The sequence below is a fragment of the Homo sapiens genome, chromosome 15, assembly GCF_000001405.40.
Source record: "Homo sapiens chromosome 15, GRCh38.p14 Primary Assembly".
NCBI classification, from domain to species: Eukaryota; Metazoa; Chordata; class Mammalia; order Primates; family Hominidae; genus Homo; species Homo sapiens.
Window position 1 is genome coordinate 53,742,552 of NC_000015.10, and position 24,045 is coordinate 53,766,596.

Below are 24,045 nucleotides of genomic sequence, written 5' to 3' on the forward strand. Positions count from 1 at the left end.
TCATCTATTTAAAGGCAATTCAAAATAAATACTTTCACTGGAGAAAATAAGTGTACACTGAGAAAGAAATATAGCATTACTTCTTGGCCTTTTGGCTAAGAAAAAAAAATAGGCATCATAGCCACAGATAGGGATAAAGTTAGAGACTATATTATAGAGGTCAAATGAATTTCTCTCACGGGGATCTCTAGTCACAGGACAAACAACAATACTGTAGTACATTACACTTTGTACGTAAATACTTGGTAAATACAAATAGTAAATAAATGTACTTAGTACATCTTAGTACTAAGTATATTTTGATATTGCATTTTGTAACATATAAGCAATGTAATCAACATTTTATCATATAATCAATACAGCTATGGAAATAATTATATAAACAACCAAACATACAGACATAAAACTTCTCTTAAGTAACTCTCAAATAATTCCTACACAAATTCTTGACTGCAGCCTACTCAGATACCACACTGGATTCTCAGGATGAAAGGATGAATGGGCTTCAGGAAGCTCACAGCCAGTAGGTAAAAAAACAATGTAAATGAATTACTTGCTAGTTATGTAGTTGCATTTATGTATATCCTACCATTTTCACATTATGTATGTATACAATTTTGTCATTTCTTGGTGGCATAATGAAAAAAATAATTCTAAGAAAAAATTTATTTTAGGTGTAATAATTATGAAAGTGTTAAAAAGCTGATTTTTATAGAGTTTAATTTATAGAGTTTAATTATATATAGATCACTGCAATTTATACATAACGATGAAATAAAAGCATAATATTAAATTTAAGCATGTTATTTTAGTATTACATATTTAATATAGATTGAAATTTAGGTATATATCAAATAAGACCAAAACAGCATTTGTGATATATTTTGGGACTTCCTACCTTTTATAGTTAATAAAGTAAAACTGTTCATGTTTATAATTTCCACATTTGTTTCTAAATAAGAGATGTTTCAAATCGTTACTTGCGAATGATTTTTAGCCATTCGAAATATAGGAAGTTCATGAATATTTTTACTTTCTAGAAAAAGCCATATGCAATGTTCCAAATCATTAGGATTTCCGGTTTTAATATTGATTTTTAAAGTACTAGTGATAGCTTGATATTCCACATAAAAATCTTTATCAGGCCAGGCACAGTGGCTCACGCCTGTAATCCCAGCACTTTGGGAGGCCGAGATGGGTGGATCACAAGGTCAGGAGATCAAGACCATCCTGGCTAACAGGTGAAACCCCGTCTCTACTAAAAATACAAAAACTTAGCCGGGCGTGGTGGTGGGCGCCTGTAGTCCCAGCTACTTGGGAGGCTGAGGCAGGAGAATGGCGTGAACCCGGGAGGCGGAGCTTGCAGTGAGCTGAGATCGCGCCACTGCAGCCCGGCCTGGGCGACAGAGCGAGACTCGTCTCAAAAAAAAAAAAAAAAAATTTATCAAATGAATCTTCTCTTCAGATCAAAGGAATACCTTCTTGTAGTAAATGTGCAGTAACGTTTCTGTTTTCATTCTCATTGACACAGGATTTTAGTAACGGAGTTCCCTGTGCTCCTTTCTATAACCAACACTCTATTGTGATACAAATCAGCTAAATCAGGGCCTCCCATCAGCATGCCATCGTACATAATGAGCTATGAAGAGTTTATAGGGGTGAGAGGAACTGAAACTTTCAACCTGGTGTATACGAAAATAATTATTTTCTATGTTTATGCTTTGATATGAAGAAGGATGAGAAGCATTGAATTACATAAAACTTGTCTAGAAATATAAATAATTTAAAGCCGTAGAGGGCTCAAACCATTATTGAGCTCACAAAACTATATCCACGTCTAAGAAATAAACCTCCCAGTAATGCAGTCCTGCTGATAGCCACTGACTGTTGCGCACTCACAGGATGACCTGCCAGCTCCCAAACTGTTCTGCTTTAAAGTGAAAATTTCTTTAAATAATATATTTTGAAATAGAAATAGCAATAGGCTACCTACTCTAGCAACATTAACTTCCCAATCACCTCCTAAACCATAGGGCCTCTCAAATCACCAGCATGGGGACACTTTGCAAAACTGTACATTACAGCTGGAAAAAGGTGGGTATGTCTTTTCATTGTTTGATCCCTAGTCCCTGGCACACTGCCTAACACATAGATGACATTCAGTAATATTTCTTATATGATGTGTTTGACCTGGATACTGAAGCAAGAGTTCACTAGAAATTGGAAGAGATGTGAAGAATGTAAAGCTGAACTCTTATTCTGCTGATGAGGAAGTGGAGGAAAGGTGGTGTGACCTTCCTAGGACCAAAGCATAGTCTTGCTCTGGAAGAAGTATATTCTGGGGAACGTAACCACCCCAGTTCCTCTCTTCATGTTCTACCAAAATACACAGAAATATAAAGTTTCTGATTCTGAGTTCATCATTAGGTTGTATCCAGCATGCCACTATTTGTATTATTTTAATTCAAACTATACTTTATTGTAAAAAAAAAAAAAGGGCAAGAAAATATTAATAGAATGAGTCAGATAAAGTTTTGCCTTCCTTTCCCACACCTTAGTAACTTGCAAATATTCTTTGAGCCTCAGTTTTCTTATCTATAAAATGGAAAAAAAAAATTACCTTGGAGAACTGATGGGGGTATAGGTGATTCTGCATAGATAACTTTTATCATTATTCCTTGTTCATAATCAGCACTCAGCATATGGAATGAATTGACTGGATGAGGCAATGAATCACTATAATTTTGTACTGTGGATAGAGATTTTGACTATCACTTTCTAGCAATACCTTTGAGAGTGTGAGATTTCCTTCCTTTACTTTTACAGTATTGACACTACAGTTTCTTTTCTTGAAAATACTGTGGCTATATGCTGGAATATTTGGCCATGAAAATATACAATTTGTTATTATTACTTCTAAACTATATGATGATCTTTAAATCAATGACTCCAAGCCAAATTAGGGTTGTCAGATTTAGCAAATAAAGATATAAAATGCCTAGTAAAATGTGAATTTCAGATGAACAACAAATAAGTTTTGTATAGTATACACTATGTAATATTTGGGACATGGTTATACTAAAAATTATTGTTTATTGTATGAGACATGCTTATAGAAAATACGTATTTTTCATCTGAAATTCAAATATAACTAGGACCTGTAGGCATAGTAGGGTCTCTGGTATCTCTAAGCTGAAGACAAAAAGGAGCCTTGTAGATCACAATTACCGCTCTTTCCTTCTACAGATGAGTAAATGAAGGCCCAGGGAAGTTGGTTACTTGGCCAAAGTAACCAAAGAAATGAGTGGCCGAGACAGAAACTGAACCAGGTTTACTAACAGCCCATCCAGAACTTGCTCCTTACACACAATTGCAAAGATGCCCTTGTCTTGCCCATCGGAAATTCTTAGGGATTTGCGATGTGAAATTCCTTCGTTATTTTGGTTGTTCTAAAAAAAGAAAAAAATCAAGCAAAACAAGAGCAATAAACCTCTTATTCATCCAGGCTCCAACATGGCCTTCATTGCCTTTAAAAGCTGAACTGACACTTCCTGATCCTCTCTCCATAAATACAATACCTGGCAAGAACAAGGAAGGACAACACGCCATTACAGCTCCCATCCTCCAGCCCGCCTTCATCTTCTTCCCCGTAACAATTTGTTTTTATCTTTCTGACTTGTCTGAGGGTAGCAGAATAATGAGTATGATGCAAATGTGGTTTTGTGGGTGGTGTCTACTGGACACTGGAATTGTTTACCTTGTCATAAATAGCTGTCTTCAGGGACACACCCAGACACTGAGTCTGCTTTACCAACCTCACAAACATAGACAAATCTCAAACCCCTTGACTGAGGACAGCCCACTAGAAACACAAAGGATAAAGTTCCTGGTTACAATGCATGAATTTTGACAATAACATCCTAACCAGAATAAACACTAAGAGGAAAGTAAATATAGTACAGCAGTGAATAATATGAGCTTTGAGATAAAATAGGCCTGGGTTTGAATCTCAGATCTGCCACTTATAGTTATGTGACCTCTGTGAATCCCATCTCTTAAGTGGAGAAGAATCCCACCTACTTTCTTCAAAACTCATAGGTACTGTGAGGGGCAAAGATGAATTACTTAAAGATTTTTTTTTTCCAGAAAACATACCTTGGTCATCTTTATCCCAGGAGGGAGTTTTGCTTTTAAAAGTTTGAGTTTAGGTGGAGATAAAAAGAGCTTTGGTGTGAAAACTGTACACTCAATTTGGAATTGTGCACTTTAAAAGTATGCAGTTTATTAAATGTATTATAAATTTACCCTAATAAACTTGATGAAACAAATGGATAGATAGGACAGCAGAGTAAAGTGGCTTGGCCAGTGTCACACAGCTAGCTAGTAAGTGGAAACAGTTTGGGAAAGGGCAAAGTTGAGCTTTAGGAAGGAACAAAGAACTCAAGGAAACTGAGGAAAGCTGGAGAAAGTAACTGGGTGTTCTGGTAGGCCAGAATGAGATCTACTTTAACCGTAGAAGACTATGAACCAAGCAGCCTCTGCAGTCCATAGGGCCTGACTTCAGTCCATGAGAACATACCAGTCCAAGCTGGCATGGGTCAGCAGAAGCCCTGTCCACCCAAAATCTATTTGAAAATGCTCCTGAAGCCAAAGTTATTATTTTATCAACAGATTGTAATTAGATCACTCCTTAGAAAAGGTAAAAAAATAAATTTTATGAGGTCAAAGAGTGTCCAAGGCATATTTAAATAACACATAACATTCTGTCTGGTCAACCCACTGGAACATGACTATTTCGGAATTAACCCCTAACCAACATCAACGCCAAGCTCCTCCAAAAATGTTGTTACTGAGTAATTAACTGCTACTTAGTAAACTCTAGAAAATAATGTGTTTTAGATAGAGAATATCTTAGCAGGTAAAGTCAAAGCTGAAACAGCCCAGAGATCAAAGGAGGAATTAAACAAATGTGCAAATTAATCTTTGAATTCCAAACACTCATGACCTGGAACACATATAAAGCAAAACAGCCAAGAAATCACATCTCTTTCATTACATGGATGAGGTTTCCATCACAGCTCACAGCTCTTCCAGACTTGTGAGTCAAAGATTTTCACAGAGTATTGCCTTCAAACTTCACCTCCTCGCTCAATAAGCTGTAGTGCAACAGAGCTGACACATTCAAAGAAAGGCCAAGGGTGTCTAATTCTAGTCATTGTCAAGGAAATGAGCATTAGATGTGGTAAGAGAAGTATGAGAGAACAATTCAATTCTTTCTGGGTAGTAACCTCACTTTTATTTATATTCAATTAGTGAACAAACAAACTGAAAAAACTACAATCCCCTTGTCTAAAGCTCAAAGTTCAGGCTTTAAGAAGTGGATATGTATTTAGCTTATACCACATTTAACCCTCTATTTACAGTGAAAATCTTTTTTTTTTTTTACTTAGATGTGGCTAACATAAACAAAAAATACCATTGTCCTAGACCATTCTTAAGTAAATTCAACAAATATCTATTGAGAACTAAATATAGCCAGGTGGTGGGTTGGGCTGCAGAGAACACAAAGAACAGAAAAACACCATCCTTGCCCTCAAAATATTTACCATGGAGTCATCTTTGGATTAATTTTAACTAAGTATTCATGCTACTAGACAAAACAATTGTTTTGCGTGTGTATAAATTCTGCAAACCTATTTCTGGTCTTGACTCATGTTTTTCTTTCCCATATCCAAAAACAATCTGGAAAACTGTTTGCCTAATATCTCTCTTTAAATTAACTTGCCTTAAGTATTAATTAAACTTAGGTAAGAAGAAATTAAGCTACATAAGTATATTTGTTTTGGAATCACCTTAATCATAAGTGTCCATAAAATCATGAGGTTTAATGTACAGGTTATATTTTTAAAATACACATTAAAAGAAATACTTGTCTATTAACACAAATACTTGGTATGTACTACCTAAAATCACATTGGGAAACGTAGCTTTAATCCTCCGTCATAGTCAAATCCTTTCCTCTACCTTTCAAAACTCCACCCTAACTGAGGTAGTTCCTCATATCCCAGCACTCTTAGTTGATGATCCTTTCTTTCAATTAACCAAGAAAATCAAGTCTCTCATACATGAGCTTCCTCATTACTTCAACATTCCATCACTTTTTCTTATTTTTAAGATTATTTTCTTCTGAGATATCCATACTAGTCTCCTCTGATAACATTTTTACCTTTATTCCAGATTTCATCTTCTATCAACTCAATTACTTCCTTTATTAATATTTATTTTGTCTTCAACTGATTTCTCTTCTTTGGTCCCTTTGCCTTTGTTTACATATATTTAGTTTAAAAATATTTATTATCTGCTACATGTCAGAGACTGTGCAAGGATTCTAGGGATGTAGACAAGAAAGACAAAGCAAGTCACAGACCTCAAGGAGCTTACTGGTGTCTAAGGAGACAGGCCTGCCCTGAATCATCCCATAGTGTGATAGGTGCTATGTTAATGTAAATGCAAGAGTGTCCAGGGAGGGAGCACAATTAGAGCTCGAAGCCAAAATTGGGAAGGATTTCCCCCAGGGGAGGGAATAAAACTTCATTTTATTGTACTTCTCAGATAATTGTGTTTTTTTACAAATTCAAGGTTTGTGGCAACCCTGCCTTGAGCAAATCTATAGGCACCATTTTTTCCAACAGTATGTGCTCACTTCATGTCTCCGTATCACATTTTGGTAATTCTCATAATATTTCAAACTTTGTCAATAACATTTTTATTATATCTGTTGTGGTGGTCTGTGATCGTAAATATCACTACTGTAATTGTTTTGGGGTGCCATAAATTATGCCCATATAAGATGGCAAACTTAATTGGTAAATTAAGTTTTTGTTCTGACTGTTCCACCAACTGGCCATTCCCCTGTCTCCTCTCTCCCTCTCCTCAGTCTTCTCTGTTCCCTGAAACAAAACACTATTAAAATTAGGTCAATTAATAATCCTATAATGGCCTCTAAGTGTTCAAGTGAAAGGAAGAGTTGCACTTTTCTCACCTTAAATCAAAGCCAAAAATGATTAAGTTTAGTGAGGAAGACATGTTGAAAGTCAAGACAGGTCTAAAGCTAGGCCTTTTGCACCAAACCATTAGCTAAATTGTGAATGCAAAGGAAAAGTTCTTGATGGAAACTGAAAGTGCTACTACAGTGAATACATGAATGATCAGAGACCGAAACAATTGCTGATATGGAGAAAGTTTTAATGATCAGGAAAGATGATCAAACCATCCACAACATTCCCTTAAGTCAAACACTAATCCGGAGCAGCACTCTAACTCTCCTCAATTTTATGAAGGTTAAAAGAAGTGAGGAAGCTGCAGTGGAAAAGCTGGAAGCTAGCTGAGTTCATGAGATTGAAGGAAAGAAGCCTCCTCCATAAAATGAAAGTGCAAGATGAAGCAGCAAGTGCTGATGGAGAAGCTACAGAAAGTTATCTAGAAGCTCTAAACTCAGATAATTAATGAAGGTGGCTATACTAAACAACAGATTTTCAATGTAGATGAAACACCTTTTTATTGGAAGAAGATGCCATCTAGGACTTTGCTAGCTAGAATGGAGAAGTCAATGCCTGGCTTCAAAGCTTCAAAGGACAAGCTGACTGTCTTGTTAGGGGCTAATGCAGCTGGTGACTTTAAGTTGAGGCCAATGCTCATTTATCATTCTAACAATTCTAGGGCCCTTAAGAATAATGCCTGTGCTCTGTATATGGAACCAGAAAGCCTGGATGACAAAACATCTATTTACAGAATAGTTTACTGAGTATTTTATGCTTATTGTTGAGATCTACTGCTCAGAAAAAATAAAAAAATCCTTTCAAAACAATACTGTTCATTGACAATGCACCGAGTCAACCAAGAGCTCTGAGATGCACAAGAGATTAATGCTGTTTTCATGCTTGCTAACATAATATCCATTCTACAGCCCATGGACCAAACAGTAATTTTGACTTTCAACTCTTACTATTTAAGCTATACATTTTGTGAGGCTATAGCTGCCATAGGTAGAGATTCCTCTGATATACCTGGACAAAGTCAATTGAAAACTTTCTGGAAAAGGTTCACCACTTTAGGTGCCTTGAGAACATTTGTGATTCATAGCAGGAAGTCAAAATATCAACATTAACGGGAGTTGAGAAGAAGTTGATTCCAACCCTCATAGATGACTTGGAGAGATTCAAAATTCCAGTGGAGGAAGTAACTGCAGACGTGGTGGAAATAGCAAGAGAACTAGAATTAAAAGTAGTCTGAAGAGGGACTGAATTGCTACAAGCTCTTGATAAAATGTAAATGGATGAGAAGCTGCTTCTTATGAATGAGCAAAGAAAGTGGTTTCTTGAGATGGAATCTACTCCTGGTGAAGATGCTATGAACATAGCTGAAATGAAAACAAAACATTCAGAATATTACATAAACTTAGTTGGTAAAGTAGCAGGGTTTAAAAGGATTGACTCCAATTTTGGAAAAAGTTCTGCTGTGGGTAAAAGGCTATCAGACAGCATTACATGCTACAGAGTAATCTTTCACAAAAGGTCTGAGCACAGTGACATATGCCTGTAATCCCAGCTACTTGAGAGGCTAAGAGGTGTGAGGATCACCTGAGGCCAGGAGTTTGAGACCAGCCTGGGCAACATAGTGAGACTACTTTAAAAAAAAAAAAGCTTTCACAAAAGGAAGAGTCAATCAATGCAGCAAACTTCATTATTGTCATATTTTAAGAAATTGCCAGAACCACCCCCAAACTCCAGCAAACCACCACCCTAATCAATTAGCAGCCATCAACATGGAGGCAAGACCCTCCTCCAGCAAAAAGTACAACTTGCAGAAGGCTCAGATGATCATTTGCACTTTTTAGCAATAAAGTACTTTTAATCACAGTATGCACATTGTTACTTTAGATATTATATTATCGTATACTTAATAGGCTTTGATATGCACTGGGAATCCAAAATAAATTGTGTGACTTGCTTTACTGCAATATTCACTTTATTAGAGACGCTTGGAATCAAACCTACAACAGAACCCACCATATCTCCAAGATATGTCTGTAACGCCTAAGTTTAAATCACAAATCTTATACATTTGCTGGTTTTGTGACCCAATGAGCTTATTTTGTCATCCAGGAAAGGGGATCAATTATCTATTGCACCCAGCCGTAATGAGTAAGGAGACAGCATGTACCGGTGGGTCAGGCCCTCCAGTCAGTGAGCCTGGATTCAAATGCCAACTCTACCAATCTATGTCCTTGGGAAGGTTATTTTACAACTCTGTGTTGGATTTTTATCAATAAAATGAGGATAAATAATAATATCAATCTAATAAGGTTGATGTGAGTAAATAATCCTTGGAAATCATTAATTAGTAAGCATTCAATAAATATTAGACTCTATTATCAGAAGGTTTTTCAAATCTCAAAATCTGTACATAAATCCTGCTAAGTAAACAATATTCCGATAAATGAAATTCTTGTCATTTATAATTCTTCATTCTATCATTCATAACTTACAGTAGATCCCATCTATTAAGTGAATTAAGTAGGAGAGATAAAGATAAAACTTCAAAAGTATCAAATTGGCAAAGTAAAGTAATTTAAATTTAAAAAACAATTTGATTTTTTCAAAAATCTGCCACATTCTCATCTAATATGAGTTGAATTGAGCCTATCCAAAATTTATATGTTGAAGCCCTAACTCGGAGTACCTCCAAGTATGACCTTATTTGGACATGGGCTCATTGTGGCTATAATTAATTAAGTGAGGATGAGGTAATACTGGATTGGGGTGAGCTCCTAATCCAATCTGACTGGTAGTCATATAAAACAAGGAAATGTGCAGACAGACACACACACAGAGAAAGTCAGGTAAAGGTGAAGGCAGACGTTGGGGTGACTTCTGCAGGCCAAGGAACACCAAAGATTGACAGCAAACCACGAGAAGCTAAGTGAGACATGGGACAGAACCTTCGTCTCACCCTCAGAAGGAACCAACCCTGCTGACACTGTGATTTCAGACCTCCAGCCTCCAGAACTGTGAGACAACACATTTCTGTTGTGTAAGTCACCCAGTGGGTGGTACTTTGTTATACATTCCTAGAAAAGTAATACAGCATTTGACAGACTTTGTTTCTTTCGAGTCAGAATGCAGATCTCAGTAACACATGTATCAATTCCTGAAACATATATTTAAATTTTAGTCTGAATCACACAATTGGTCATATACCAAAATCTATTCTCTACCTCTTTGTGTAATAAATCTCCTTTCCATCTACATTATCGGCTCCTTGAGAAAAGAATATATTCATTTATTAATTCAATAATTAGTATCTAGTAAAGCCCTACTAAATGAAAGATGAAAAAACACAAGTTCCTGCCCTCTAGGAATTCACAACCTATAAGTCAAATCCTAAGTATGTAAAGAACCAACGTAAAGTAGGTTGGTAGAAGCATTTCCGAGGCACAACAGCAAACCAAGTTTCATTCCCATGGCTGTCAACGGGTCATCCCTTACACTTTGGCTTCTCGTGTAAAAATACTGTGTTCTTCCAAGGACTAGTTATCTTCTTCCTTGGCCCTGACATCTACTTCCCTTCTTTCAGTTTCAGCACAAGTTGACATTGGAAGTCAGTCCACTGTAATTATAACAATCCATTTTTCCTCCTAGAATAAGCAAATGGCAGGTACTCCCATAGGCAGAAATACAGGCCTATATGGACAAGGCCTATTTGGAGAAGCCTCCCTAATGCCCACGATTCTAGTGTTTTCTGACTCTGTCCTAGCAATCAGGAATACCTGCCAGGGAAGACTTTAAACTCACCTTTTGCACTAAAGGATTCTAGCAGAAGCTAGGCCAAAACAGACTTTCATCAGCAAGGCTATGAATGCAGAATCCCAAGGTGGTTTGGAAAAAGTGGTAGAGGAAGTACAGGATTTGAGGCTCATAATCTGAAGGAACCATAGCCTTTGTAGCTTTTGTGAACATCTTTGTGGATTTTCTGTCATGAGCCAAGATAAGCCCCACCTCTGTTTCATAGTCCCTATCTCACCACTTGATTATTCAAAATTTTCTCTAGTCCTGGCTCTTCCTACTTTCCCTTATTCCTAAACACATCCCACCTTCTGTCTTCACTATCCTTGCCTCTTTTCTCAGTGTTAAGGCACAGTGTTGTATACTCAATTCAGCAAGTGTTTACTGAATGCCAACTGTGTTCCAGACCTTGTGCTGGTGGCTTTCCTATGCATTTTCTCAAGTAATCCACACATCTACCATTACTGTTATTAGGAAAAGAAGGCTAGGTAAATCTAAATCCCCTGGCTACGACTACATCCCTAGGGATTACATCCCTAGATTTGTATGACCTCAAAGCCCATACCACTTCTTAAAGGCCTTGAAAGTGAGAATTCATAATGATGACATCATCATCTGTTTACAGTTCCACACAGACAAGCCAGTCCACCTATTTCTTTAAAGAAAATGAAACAAAACAAAACAAAACAAAACAAACACAACTTAAATTCAACTACAGGGGTGGTTAAGATGCCAAATCACTCTTAGACTAAAGACTGTTTAGTCTAAGAGTCTTAATCTGTAAAACCTATTCATTATGTATGTGGAAGTGTATGCATGGGCCAGAATGTTTTCAAAGCATCAGAACTTAATACAAAAACACTAAAAAGCTCATCGTAACACTAGTGTCATGGAAAAAGACTCATAATACACAATGTGAGATTTCCACATTGGGGTGACTGCAATGCAGTTTATGACATAAGAGGTAGCAGAGGGAGACACGAAAGGGCTTGCCTGAACCTACAGGCCAACAAAAACCAGGCAATATGTGGCACTATGGCACTTTCTAAAACATCCTGGCCTCTGCTTATTCTAAGAAAAAAAAATCCGTGGCAAAGGGGATCCCTCTTCTCTGCTTGATTTCTACTGACCAAAGAAGTCACTGTCCAGTGATATAAAGAAATTCTGTCCCTAGGGCATAAATAAATATCCAACACCTATAGTTCATGGGTGTATAAGAGCCTGAGAGGCCTGGAATCGATCCAACCCATTTTAACTAGCAAGAAACTACCTGGTAATACCTTGTTTGTATTTCTTGGAGGAGGGACACAAGAAACACTTATTTCATTCCACACAATAATTCACCACAATCAGAGAGAGCACAGCAAGGGCAACACCATCTCCCAGCTGCTGATTACATCAAAGGCTTGCAGCACAAATTCAATTTTATGATGTTAATCTCAGCCTGCCACTCAGAAATTTTCTCTGAGGGATATGATTTTTCTCTGGATTTCATTTTAAGAATGATTTTCTTCATCCACAATCAATAAAGATATGTTTTCATCAAAAGACTCTATCTTGGCAGAATTCAATTGGCTATTTCAACCCCTTTTGGTGACACAATGTTAATTAAAATAGTTTATGTTGCACCTCAACTGGAAAAAGAGGCAGTGAAAATAGGAGCTACTCAGAACACATGTTCTATATACATCAACATGGAAGGCAGAAAATAATTTTCTCCTTCCCCAGGCGACAGCTATTAGCTATTCAAGAGAGTTGCTCTAACTTGGTTTATCTCTGTGATCTCACTGGAAAAAAGAATGAAGTCCTTCCTGTTTATATTTTTTTGTTCAATTGGAAATCAAAATGCATATAAAGAAGATACTTTAAATGCTTACATCCCAGTTCCTCAACAAGAGGAGAAATAATTATCTGTGCTCCTATGTGGCATAACGGATTATTAGGCATCACATTCATTATTTCCCTTAACTAAAAATTAATGATGCTATTACAAATTATTTTTATTTTCAATTTTAAATAATAATTACAGCTAAATACATTGTATTTCTCAAAAGCAGGCATATAGATTCTCAAAAGCGGGCATATAGAATTAGCACAGGGTTTTGCACATTTAAGAAAGAGAAGAAAACTATGCAATGCATCACAGAAAATAAAGCAATTTGTTTTAACAGTGGTTTGGGAAGTGGCAGTTAATTAATTTAACAAAGATTTATAAAGCACCTACTGTGTTCTTGACTCTGTTCTCCTCTTGAGAATGAGATGAAGGCCCCACTTCCTGTCCCATGATGCTGACAGATCATGGGGCCTCCATTACCGCAGAAAGAGAAGGGCTAGGCCTGGTTCCCACAAAGCAGGTAGAGAGCGCAGCAGAGGCTGCACTTAACCCTGCTGGGAGGAGATCAAGAAGAGTTTCTCCAAGGAAGTCCAATTACTGAAACATTCAGCTGGTAATTTACATATCCAGTCTAAAAAAGTGGGGGGCATAGCTCAGTCTCTAATAGAAAAGGTAGTCTCTATCAACCACACCTTCTCACTCCCCCATTCTGAAATTCATTATTCCTCTTAACATAAGAAAGTGGTAACAAAGAAAGTAGGAGTACTGATACCCTAAGGAGAATAAGGATTTCACAGGACTCTGTGTTCTAATCTATACTAAAGCAATCTAAAAATCATATCAGCTTTCTGGGCTAATATGGTTTGGCTTCATCCCCACCCAAATCTCATCTTGCAGTTCCCATAATCCCCACATGTGGTGGGAGGGACCCAGTGGGAGGTAATTGAATCATGAGGATGGTTTCCCCCATGCTGTTCTCGTGATAGTAAGGTCTCGCGAGATCTGATGGTTTCATAAGGGGCTTCCCCCTTTGCTCCGCACTCATTCTCTCTCCTGCAACCCTATGAAGAGGTGACTTCCGCCAGGATTGTAAGTTTCCTGAGGCCTCCCCAGCCACGTGGAAATGTGAGTCAGTTAAACCTCTTTTCTTTATAAATTACCCAGTCTTAGAGCAGTGTCCTTAGAGCAGTATGAGAAAGGACTAATACATGGGCCCTCACAACTCACTGCCGACTCACAAGCAACAAAATGTCAATTAACCAAAAGGTTGACTGGTTCAGTAAATTACATCTCCCTCATCCTGTACTCGCTTATTGTTTTAAACACTTACTGTGTAGGGCTTTACATTTCTCCCAGTTGAATTTCAACTTGTTAAAAAAAAAAGACAGAGAGAGAGAGGAAAAGTCAGTGTCAAAGTAAACAATTGCTACCACTTACTGACTATATGTTAAGTTGTAGACACTGTGCTGCTTAGATTACGTTCACTGCTTCATGCGGTCCTCATAATATCAATATGCATTATTATCACTATTCCAAACATGAAGAAAATGAGTCTTGGAGAACATAAGTAACTTGCCGAAGGTCAGAGCTAGGAAACAAACAGATCCATCAGTCTATGAAAAACTCAATTCTTAATCACTGCACTATGCTGGTTAGGTGGGGCAGAGGTGGTGGTCAGCATGTGAGGACAGCCTCTGGAAATGAGAGCAAATTCTGGAATCAGTGTTCCCCTACAGCAATGATATCTAGCTCTGTAAATGAAAATTTGCATTTTTTAGAAAAGTTCAAAGGGGCCCAAATGTCTTTTCAGACCAAAGATATCTCTCTCATTTTGAAGATAAACGTGACACATGTAAATAAAGAAACTCCTGGGTCCCCAAAGTTGATTAGGAAGAGGTCTTGCAAGGACTTCAAAGCTGACCTGGGCCTAGACCTCAGTGCACAGATAGATACTTTTAGTCCAGGTCTCCACCACATCTGCCTGCTTCCAATTCAGCCTAGAGAAGAACTGAATCTACAAAGCTTAACAACTGGGAAAAAATAACCATACATATAGAAAAGGCCTCCAGAAAGGTACCTTTTATGATGTAGCGATAGAATTATTCCTAAATGGCCAGGCACGGTGGCTCATGCCTGTAATCCCAACACTTTGGGAGGCCGAGGCAGGTGGATCACTAGAGGTCAGGAGTTCGAGACCAGCCTGGTCAACATAGTGAAACCCCACCTCTACTAAAAATACAAAAATTAGCCAGGCATGGTGGCAGGCACCTGTAACCCCAGCTACTGGAGAGGCTGAGGCAGGAGAATCACTTGAGCCCAGGGACCAGAGGGTGCAGTGAGCCGAGATAGTACCACTGCACTCCTACCTGGGAGACAGAGTGAGACTCCATCTCAACAACAACAACAACAACAAAAAATTAAAAATTAAAAAAAAGAATTATTCATAAAGGACATCCTCTATTGTGAGCAACATTATTACTAACATTATTATTATTAAATAACAGAAATTTCGAGTATATGAATTGTCAAGCTACAAAGATATCTGAATGCAACAAACTTGAAATCTTAAAATCTTACTGATACCATTATTTTCAAGGTTCCTTTAAGTTATTTCACAAGTCAAATGCACTCTTCCATTCCAGTAGGCATGTATAAACTAGAACGTCAGATTTCTAAAGCATTCAGTTCATTGGGTAGAGACCGTTAATGGAAGATTTCACACACAGGGAGAAACTTAAGAGTTTATTTTCTCTCTCTCTCTCTCTCTCTCTCTCTCTCTTTTTCTCTTTTGAGACAGGGTCTTTCTCCGTCACCTAGCCTGGAGTACAGTGAAGCATGCAATCATGGCTCACTGCAATCTCGACCTCTCAGGCTCAAGTCATCCAACTCCCTCAGGCTTCCTAGTAGCTGGGATTATGGACTGACGCACACCACCACACCCAGCTGATTTTTGTAGAGATGAAGTTTTGCTATGTTGCCCAGGCTGGTCTGGAACTCCTGAGCTCAAGCGATCCACCTACCTTGGCCTCCCAAAGTGTTTGAATTACAGGCATGAGCCACAGCGCCCAGCCTAGTTAATATTTTCTTGACAAAATACTTATAATTTTAAAATACCTTTTCCAAAAGAAGTGAAAGCTTTGGAACTCAATATAAAATATTAATTTTTAGGTTAAAAAAATCACTTTACTAGACACCTTCAAGGGCAGTTTCCCTTTCTCCTACAGCCTTTTACATTCTTTACAGAAGACTCTATTGGCACATTTTAATATTGAAGGAGTTAAAAAAAGACAAAGGAACAAGTGATGTTTACAAAAAAAAAGCTGCACAAGACCAACTTAACCACAAGTACTTGCATGACAGAAGTGGCCGCTTTCCTTTTCACTGGTTTGTAAGTGGTGAGAGCTGAACAGGGAAGAAAGGAATGGTGTTTTGGCAGTGACAATGGGAAGGGGTGGAGGAAAACACTTCAGGTAAAAAGATCCCCAACAGGTGACCTAGTCTCCAATCGGTGACCTTGAAGTCATTTAACACAAAACTGCGGGGGGGGGGGGGGCGGTGCGGGCGGGGGAAGACAAACGTACCATACACCTACGTTTTGTTTAACAGAACGTCGTTAACTGTATTGAAATGGATACAAAAATGCTATAATAAGTGGGGAAGATGGTATAAGTCAGCACCAGTTTCCAAAAGGAAGTATTCCCAGTGCATCACCTTTTCCAGATTTTGTCAGCACAGACAGTCCCCCCTTTATCTTCCTGCCTCTCATCCAACCTTACAAGGGGCAAAAGTCTTGTCCCCGCAGTCTTTATTGCCGACTCAGCCCAAGCGGCAGAGCAAGGAAAGTTTCGCCAGCCCCCGTCCCCACAGCCCCAAGCTGTCACACCCCAGCAGGCTTAGGCCCACCCGGTCGTTTTCCCTGCCCTTGAACTCAGCTTTAAAATTAATTCGACCTAAAATTAAAGTTTTAAAAATAAATAAATAAATAAAATTAATTCAATCGATTCCGTTCCATAGAAGTCCAATTCCCAAGTTCCAAGAAATTATCCTAATAGGGAAAGGCAGGTCCCTAACCGTATCTGGGGTAGACTCCTCCCAGGAGCATAGGTAGGGATACTGCGAGATGAGCGGCTTTGTTCACTCCTGATGCCACATCTGGAAAAGAGTTTGAAGAGGGACTTTTCCAGTTTCCAAGTGCAAGAACTTAGAGCAAAGGAAGGGGTTAGAGATAGCGCTGCGCACGCCCACCCTCTTTCCCGGCCCAGCTGTATCCAAGCGCGGGCCGTCCCCTCCTGCGCCGTGCTCTGAAGGCGGGAAGGCGTGCGGCTGCACCAGCCAGGGGCAGACGAAGACCACCAGCCTGGGACCCGGCAGCCCGACCTGCGCTCTGGGGGTGCCTGCCTTACCTGAGCCGTGGGGCGGAGGAGCGGCAGAGGCCAGGCAGGCTGGCGGGTCTCGCCCTTAGGGTCACGGGTACCGGCCCCGCCCGCCTCGCCCCGCCCCGCCCCGCCCCGGTCCTGCCCCCGCAGCGCGCGGACCGGGCTAGCTCTGGCCCCAGCCGCCCGCGGGCGGGTGCACCCGCTCTCCCTTCCTGCAACCTGGACCCGCTGCCTCCCTCCCTCCCTCCCTCCTTCTCTCACTTGCGGTGGCGGCTGGAAAAGGCCCGCCAGCAGCCTGCGGTTGCCTGTCCTCTCAGGGCTGGAGAGAATTAGTTAGGGGGGGTTAGATCAAAAGAGCCCAGGTGACGTGAACTCTTGACCCTAGGCATTGGCAGAGATGAGGCCTCAACCTTTTTTTTTTTTTTTTTTAAGTTTTTGGGGATACACAGTAGGTGTATATATTTATGGGGTATATGCCGTATTTTGATACAGACAAACAATGCGTAATAATTACATCAGGGTAAATGAGGTTTCCATCACCTCAGCATTTATCCTTTGTGTTACAAACAATCCAATTATACTCTTTTAGTTATTTTTAACTGCACAATTATATTATTATTGACTATATTCACCCTGTTGTGCCACCAAATAGTAGGTCTTATTCATTCTTTCTGTTTTTTCTACCCATTTACCATTTCCACCTCCACCCGACTCCCCCACCCCCCACTACCCTTCACAGCCTTTGATAACCATCCTCCTACTCTCTATCTTCATAAGTTGAATTGTTTTAATTTTTAGCTCCCACAGATAAGTGGGAACATGTGAAGTTTGTCTTTCGGTGCCTGGGTTATTTCACTTAACATAATGATCTCCAGTTCCATCCATGTTGTTGCAAATGACAGAATCTCTTTCTTTATATGGCTGAATAGTACTCCACCGTGTATATGTACCACATTTTTCTTATCCATTTATCGGTTGATGGACAACTTAGGTTGATTCAAAATCTTGGCTATTGTGAACAGTGCTGCAATAAACACAGGAGTGCAGATATTTCTTTGATATACTGATTTTCTTTCTTTTGGATGTATACCTAGCAATCGGGTTGCTGGATCATATGGTAGTTCTAGTTTTAGTTTTTTGAGAAAGCTCCAAATTATTCTCCGTAGTGGTGGTACTAAAGAGCTTAAACAACTCAATAGGAAAAAATATAATAATTCAGTTTTAAAATGGGCAAAAGGCCAGACACAATGGCTCACATTTGTAATTCCAGCACTTTGAGAGGGCGAGGTGGGCAAATCACTTGAAGTCAGGAGTTCGAGACCAGCCTGGTCAACATGATGAAAACCTGTCTCTACTGAAAATGCAAAAATTAGCTGCTCATGGTGGTGTGTGCCTGTAGTCGATGCTACTCCAGAGACTGAGGCAGGAGAATCACTTGAACCCGAGAGGTGGAGGCTGCAGTGAGCTGAGATCACACCACTGCACTCCAACCTGGGTGTCAGAGTGGGACTCCATCTCTAAATAAATAAATAAATATAAAAATAGGCAAAAGACCCAAAAAGACATTTTTCGAAAGAAGGCATACAAATGACAAATAGGCATATGAAAAGGTGCTCAACATCATTGATCATCAGAGAAATGCAAATCAAAACTACAATGGGATATCATCTTACCCAAATTCAAACGGCTCATATCCAAAAGACAGGCAATAACAAATGCTGGCAAGGATGTGGAGAGAAGGGAACCCTCATACATTGTTGGTGGCAATATAAATAAGTACAACCACTATGGAGAACAGTTTGAAGCTTCCTCAAAAAAATAAAAATAAAACTACCATATGATCCAGCAATTCCTCTGCTGGATATATACACAAAAGAAAAGAAATCAATATATCCAAGATCTTTTGGTAAGGGATGGAAGGACGTTTTCCTCAAGACTGCATAGGCATGGTGGCTCATGCCTGTAATCCCAGCGCTTTAGGAGGCTGAGGTGAATAGATTGCTTGCTCCCAAGAGTTTGAGACCAGCCTGGACAATAGGAGGAGACCCCCATCTCCACAAAAAATACAAAAATTAGCCAGGCGTGGTGGCTGTGCACCTGTAGTACCAGTTCCTCTGGAGGTTGAGTCAGGAGGGTCACTTGAGTCTGTGAGTTGAAGGCTGCAGCTAGCTGTACCACTGCACTCCAGCCTGAGAAACAGAGCATGACTCTGTCAAAAACAAAAACAAAAACCCAAAGCAGAAAACCCACAAAACAAAAAATGCAGCCTCTGAATAGGGAAAAGCCATTAAAAGTATCAAGAGTGGGTGAAAAATTCAACATTGAAACCAGCATCCTAGCCTGTTGTGAATAGACTAAGTACCTAAACTGAATGACTGGGTGGTTTAGTAAAATGTGGGGTGGGGAGACACTGCTTTTTTTTTTAAGGTTTCTCAGTTACATGACTTTACCCTCCAAATCCTATTGGCTCCTTAGTCTTGGATTCTAATACTCCTGGAAGCAGGTTGGGAGAGATTTTAACTCCTCCTTTTTTTCACTGATATCTGGCTTCCCAAATATTAAGGATATTTGGCCAGGCCCAAGTAAGATCACAGGTTTTCCATCTCTTAAACTTCACATATCCTGGGTCTTCCTGCATGCAGTGTTTCCTACTAGAGCACTCCTCTCGCCTTCTGCATCCTTTGGGACTGGTTCATTTCCATTCTGGATTCTCACTTCCCTCCTGCAGGTTAGATGTGCTTGTTACTCACTCCTAATTACCTTGCTTCCTCTGTCATTACACTTGTCACAACTGACTACCATTGCTTGTGCATTGGCCTCCCCTGCTTGACTGTAAGCTCTGTAAAGGCAGGGACACCAAGCACGTAGGAGATACAGAATAAATGTTGTTGAATGATGTGCCTGTGACAGTCAACGGTTAAGGCATTCCCAGCCATCAACTCTTTAATGAATTTCCCTCACCAATCCTTTCCTTCTAAGTCTGCAGGTTCTTATATCAAAGTTAATATCCCCACACATCCCCTCATCCCCAAGCCTTCATCCTACCTCTTGAGCAGAGCCTTCTCCATAGTTTTCATAGTCGCAAATGTAGAAAGAGGTCTAGACCTAGTTGCTCTTGTCTGAGCTCTGCTGTAGCTAGCTTAGTGGTCTTAGAGACCCTCAGCCTCTCTGTGTCTCAGATCAGGGCTGGCTTATCCATTAGGGACGGTGCCCAGGACCCATAATAATTTGGGGGCCCACAAAATGGGGGCAGAGAGAAAAGAACAAAAGAACATTTAAGTCAAAGAAAGTCTTGTAATATATTATTTTAATGTGTTGGTCTTTGTACCAATGTAGTCACTGACCATGTTGAATTTTACCCAAGTCCTGTGATCCTGGAAAACATGAAGGGTTAAAGGAACCCTCCCACTCTTTAGTGTTCCAGAAAACAGCTTATACAAGGAAAGATCCTCCCCCATGTGACTTAGTTAAGACTTGCTGATGCCAACCTTGTTTTTTTAATGACAAAGCTGAACATAGACGCTCCACCATTCCGTTCTTTGCATCATTAATGATTAGCTGAACTGTTTCACCCACTGACCAATGTGGACAGAATATCTGCTACCTTGACTTGACCCAATTTTAGTTAGAATTCTCTCTTTCTCCTGGCCCCTGAGCTTTGACCTGCCCTTTGCCTGAGCCATGATACAACCCCTCCTTAAGAGCCCCTCCTGAAAATCGGGTGATCATAGGGTAGAATTTTCTCTTTTCTACTGTAAGATCATTCACCCTAACTCATTCCACTTTTCGACATCCTGTTACTTCCAGTATTGTTTATTCCTTCCTAGAAAAGAAAAGACCTTTTCTGCCTAACCTTTGAGAGGTTTGTATATCTCAGGATCAAAGTTTTCTTCTAATTGCAATAGTCCCCTTCCTCCTACTGCAAGTCACTTTCTCTCCATTGCAATACTCCTTTAGAATAAAAGTCTTTGCTTACCCAAGTCTATATTTTTAATTTGACATTGTAAGATATAATTTTTAATATTGTTTATAAATGAAGAGGCCTCCCCAAAGCAAAAATGCACACTAAAATCATAATGTGAACCTGCCTCAGATTCCTCACTGTTAAATGGAGAAGCTGAATTAGGTAGACCAAGATACCTTTTGCCAAAATTAATGAATTCAGAAGCAGAATTATCTGCTCTTGGTTAGTCAGTAGGAAGCAACTGACAGAATGACATGCCCACCTCATTTATTACACATCTTATTCATTGCTACTTCTTTGACTGGACTCAGGGCTCTTCCTGTGCCTGACTTATGGGATAAAATAGAGGTCTCTCAGGCTTCATTTCTGAAAGTTCCGGCACACAAATAAGACCTTTGATTGTGTACCAACCTATATGTATTTCTTGGGTCCTGACACAGTGGGTATTGGTTATAGCAATAGTTTATCCCTTCCTCCCTTTATTTCTTGTTTTCTTATTCATGTAGCATATGATATTATAACTGAAAAAGCTCCATAAGTTCTAAAGTAAAAACAACATGATATGCAATTTGATATCTCACCCATTCAGATGAAATTTCATAATTTCCCCACTTCTTTAAGAAGAGTTCATTTTGTGCTTGCTTCGACAGCACATACAGTAAAAATGGAATGATACAGAGAAGACTAACATCTCCCCTGCACAAGGATGACATCCAAATGTATGAAGCATTCCATTTTTCAAAGTGAAATAAATCATAATTTTTTAAAAAACAAGAGGATTGGACTTTTAGTATAATTTGTTTTCCAAGATTAAATAAATATACATTAAAATAAATATATAGAAGAGGAAGATAAAAAATATATATCTCAAACAATAGCAATCTAAAAGAACTTTAGTATCTTTTTTTCAGTGTATTTCTTTCTTGCTTCACTGAAAAAGTACTTGTTTATGTATTTGTAATGTTATACAGGTACAGTTTATATCCTTTCCCTTAAACATTACATTATAAGAAGTTTACCTTGTTGCTACATTGTCTTCATAATTATCCTTTTTAATAGCTGCATAATAGACCATCAAATAGATGCTTTGTAATACGACTGCTTCCCATGCTTCCCACTTGCTGGGTGTTTGTTTCTAAATTTTAACTAAATTATGCTGTGTTGAATATTTTGTTAGGACAGATTTCCAGAAGCAGAATTATTAAGTCAAAATGTATCCCTATTTTTTATGCCTCTCCATACAACTTTCCAAGTTGATTTTTAATAGTTGGAGCAAATGCTTCCATCAGTGTGTGAGAGCCAATTTCTCCACCAAGGAAATATTTAACTGGGGATTAAATATACATATTCTCAGTGTTTGCAAATTTGATGTACTACATTGACTATTAACTCCATGAGGGGCTATGTCTGTTTGTTCACCATCTCCTTGCTCAATAATTATTTGGTAAATAGTGAATAGAAGACTGAATGAAGGAAAAGTTGTATCTTATCACGCTGTTGAACAAACTGCATTTTGGAATGCAATGAACTAACACAGTTTATAAGTGCCATAAAATATCCTTATTTTTCTTTGGTCTTAATCCTTGGACTGAGAAGTGGTCATTAAAAACTCATCTAGAATTGGCATTCAAGGCAGGGTTGAATAAAATTGGAGGTTCTAAAGCAATGTTTCTGAAAAGGCCTTTTCTCCTTTGAATAAAGAAAAATTAATAGTGCACTGAATATCTCAAACCCAAACATGGATGTTATCGCCTAAACCACAAAGAATTTTTGGGAAGTATTGTGCCTATTTGGTCTTGTTTCCAGTGTATGAATTTCTATACTGTCGAGGCACAGGTAGCCTCAACACAGCATGATCAAAACTGGGCTAATAATAAACCCGGAATGACAGCCTATTTAAAGAAACATGGTGCCCCTAACACATGCCCCTAGAGGGGATGCATATGAGACCAACTGCCTTGGACAGCAAGAATGTGTTCAGTGTAACAGATGGGAGAGGATGAAGAGAGCATGCCCTCTGTCTCTCTCTTTAGATGATGGAAGGGGTCGTGCAGTTAATCCTTAGTTTAGGATATAAGGGAGAACAAAAAGAAAGGAACCACAAGGATTCCCTTAACTTGCTCATTCCTTACATCTTTATTTTTCCCAAAGAAAAGCAAGTTAGAGCTTAGACATCAGCAGGAAGAGCAAGCTGGCAGGTGAAAGCCAAACTGGACACTGGAAGGTGATTTGTTTGGTTGGCTTGGTATTGGTGCTGTTATTTTTAACTGGCATTTGAATGTTGCAGGCCTCGCCACTCCCTGTAGTCTTCACCCATGTATACTACCTGCTTGGCCTCTGAAGACACTCAACTTTGTGTTCCTAGAATACTTTGTGGTTCTCAGAAAAGTGTCCTGATTTTAAAAACTACCTCCTACCTTTCCTCCCATCACATTAATAAGGCTAGCCAGACAATGATGACTTACTTTATAATCTGTTAATCTCTGTACTGCAGGATTCAGGTGTTTGAACAAATGACAAATATTTCACTTATAGTTGAAATGTGTTTCTTTGCTGATAAGATGCTATGCAGTGTGAACCCCTCTTCCTTTTAAGCACTGAAAGATTTTTGCCAGATACAATAAATATCTTTGGAGAAGATGTGGTAATTTCCAATCAGAAAGATGCTCTGACATATTATAGTACAAAAAATGACTAGAAATAATGCCTAAGTAAATTAGTTTGGTCAGTCTATGAAATGATAAAAATAACTCGTGATGGTTTAGTATATGCCCAGAAATTATTTGAAACTCCTCCCTCTGGTGAAGCCTTAATTCTCTCTGCGGGCAATATTTAGTGACTACCTTCCAACAAGAAGAACACGGTAGATATGATGGAGAACAACTGTGAAATGTAGATTGTAAAATGACAGTGTAACTTCCACCTTGTTCTTTCTGCTGCTGGGGTCATTCTCTCTGGGGGAAGCCACTCCAGCAGCTCTATGGAAAGACCCATGTGTTCAGGAACAGAGGTCTATTTCCAGCAGCC

At 39.1% G+C, this 24,045-nt stretch overlaps 1 protein-coding gene and 1 pseudogene across 8 annotated transcripts in view; one reads left to right on the forward strand and one right to left on the reverse strand.

The window, feature by feature from the left end:
- Positions 1–20,327, reverse strand: part of WDR72 (WD repeat domain 72) — a 249,138-nt gene extending 228,811 nt beyond the window's left edge. For 2 of the 8 annotated variants that reach the window (XM_047432345.1, XM_047432342.1), the window contains exons 1-3: positions 17,082–17,112; positions 16,750–16,830; positions 14,116–14,266 (exon numbers count right to left, since the gene is read on the reverse strand). The gene's annotated coding sequence lies outside the window, so the exon portion shown is untranslated. Of the gene's footprint in view, positions 1–14,115; positions 14,267–16,749; positions 16,831–16,923; positions 17,113–20,099 lie in introns of those variants that run through there. The other 6 variants (XM_011521436.3, NM_182758.4, XM_047432344.1 and 3 more) reach the window with 5 other exon arrangements.
- Positions 21,653–21,759, forward strand: RNU6-449P (RNA, U6 small nuclear 449, pseudogene; annotated as a pseudogene).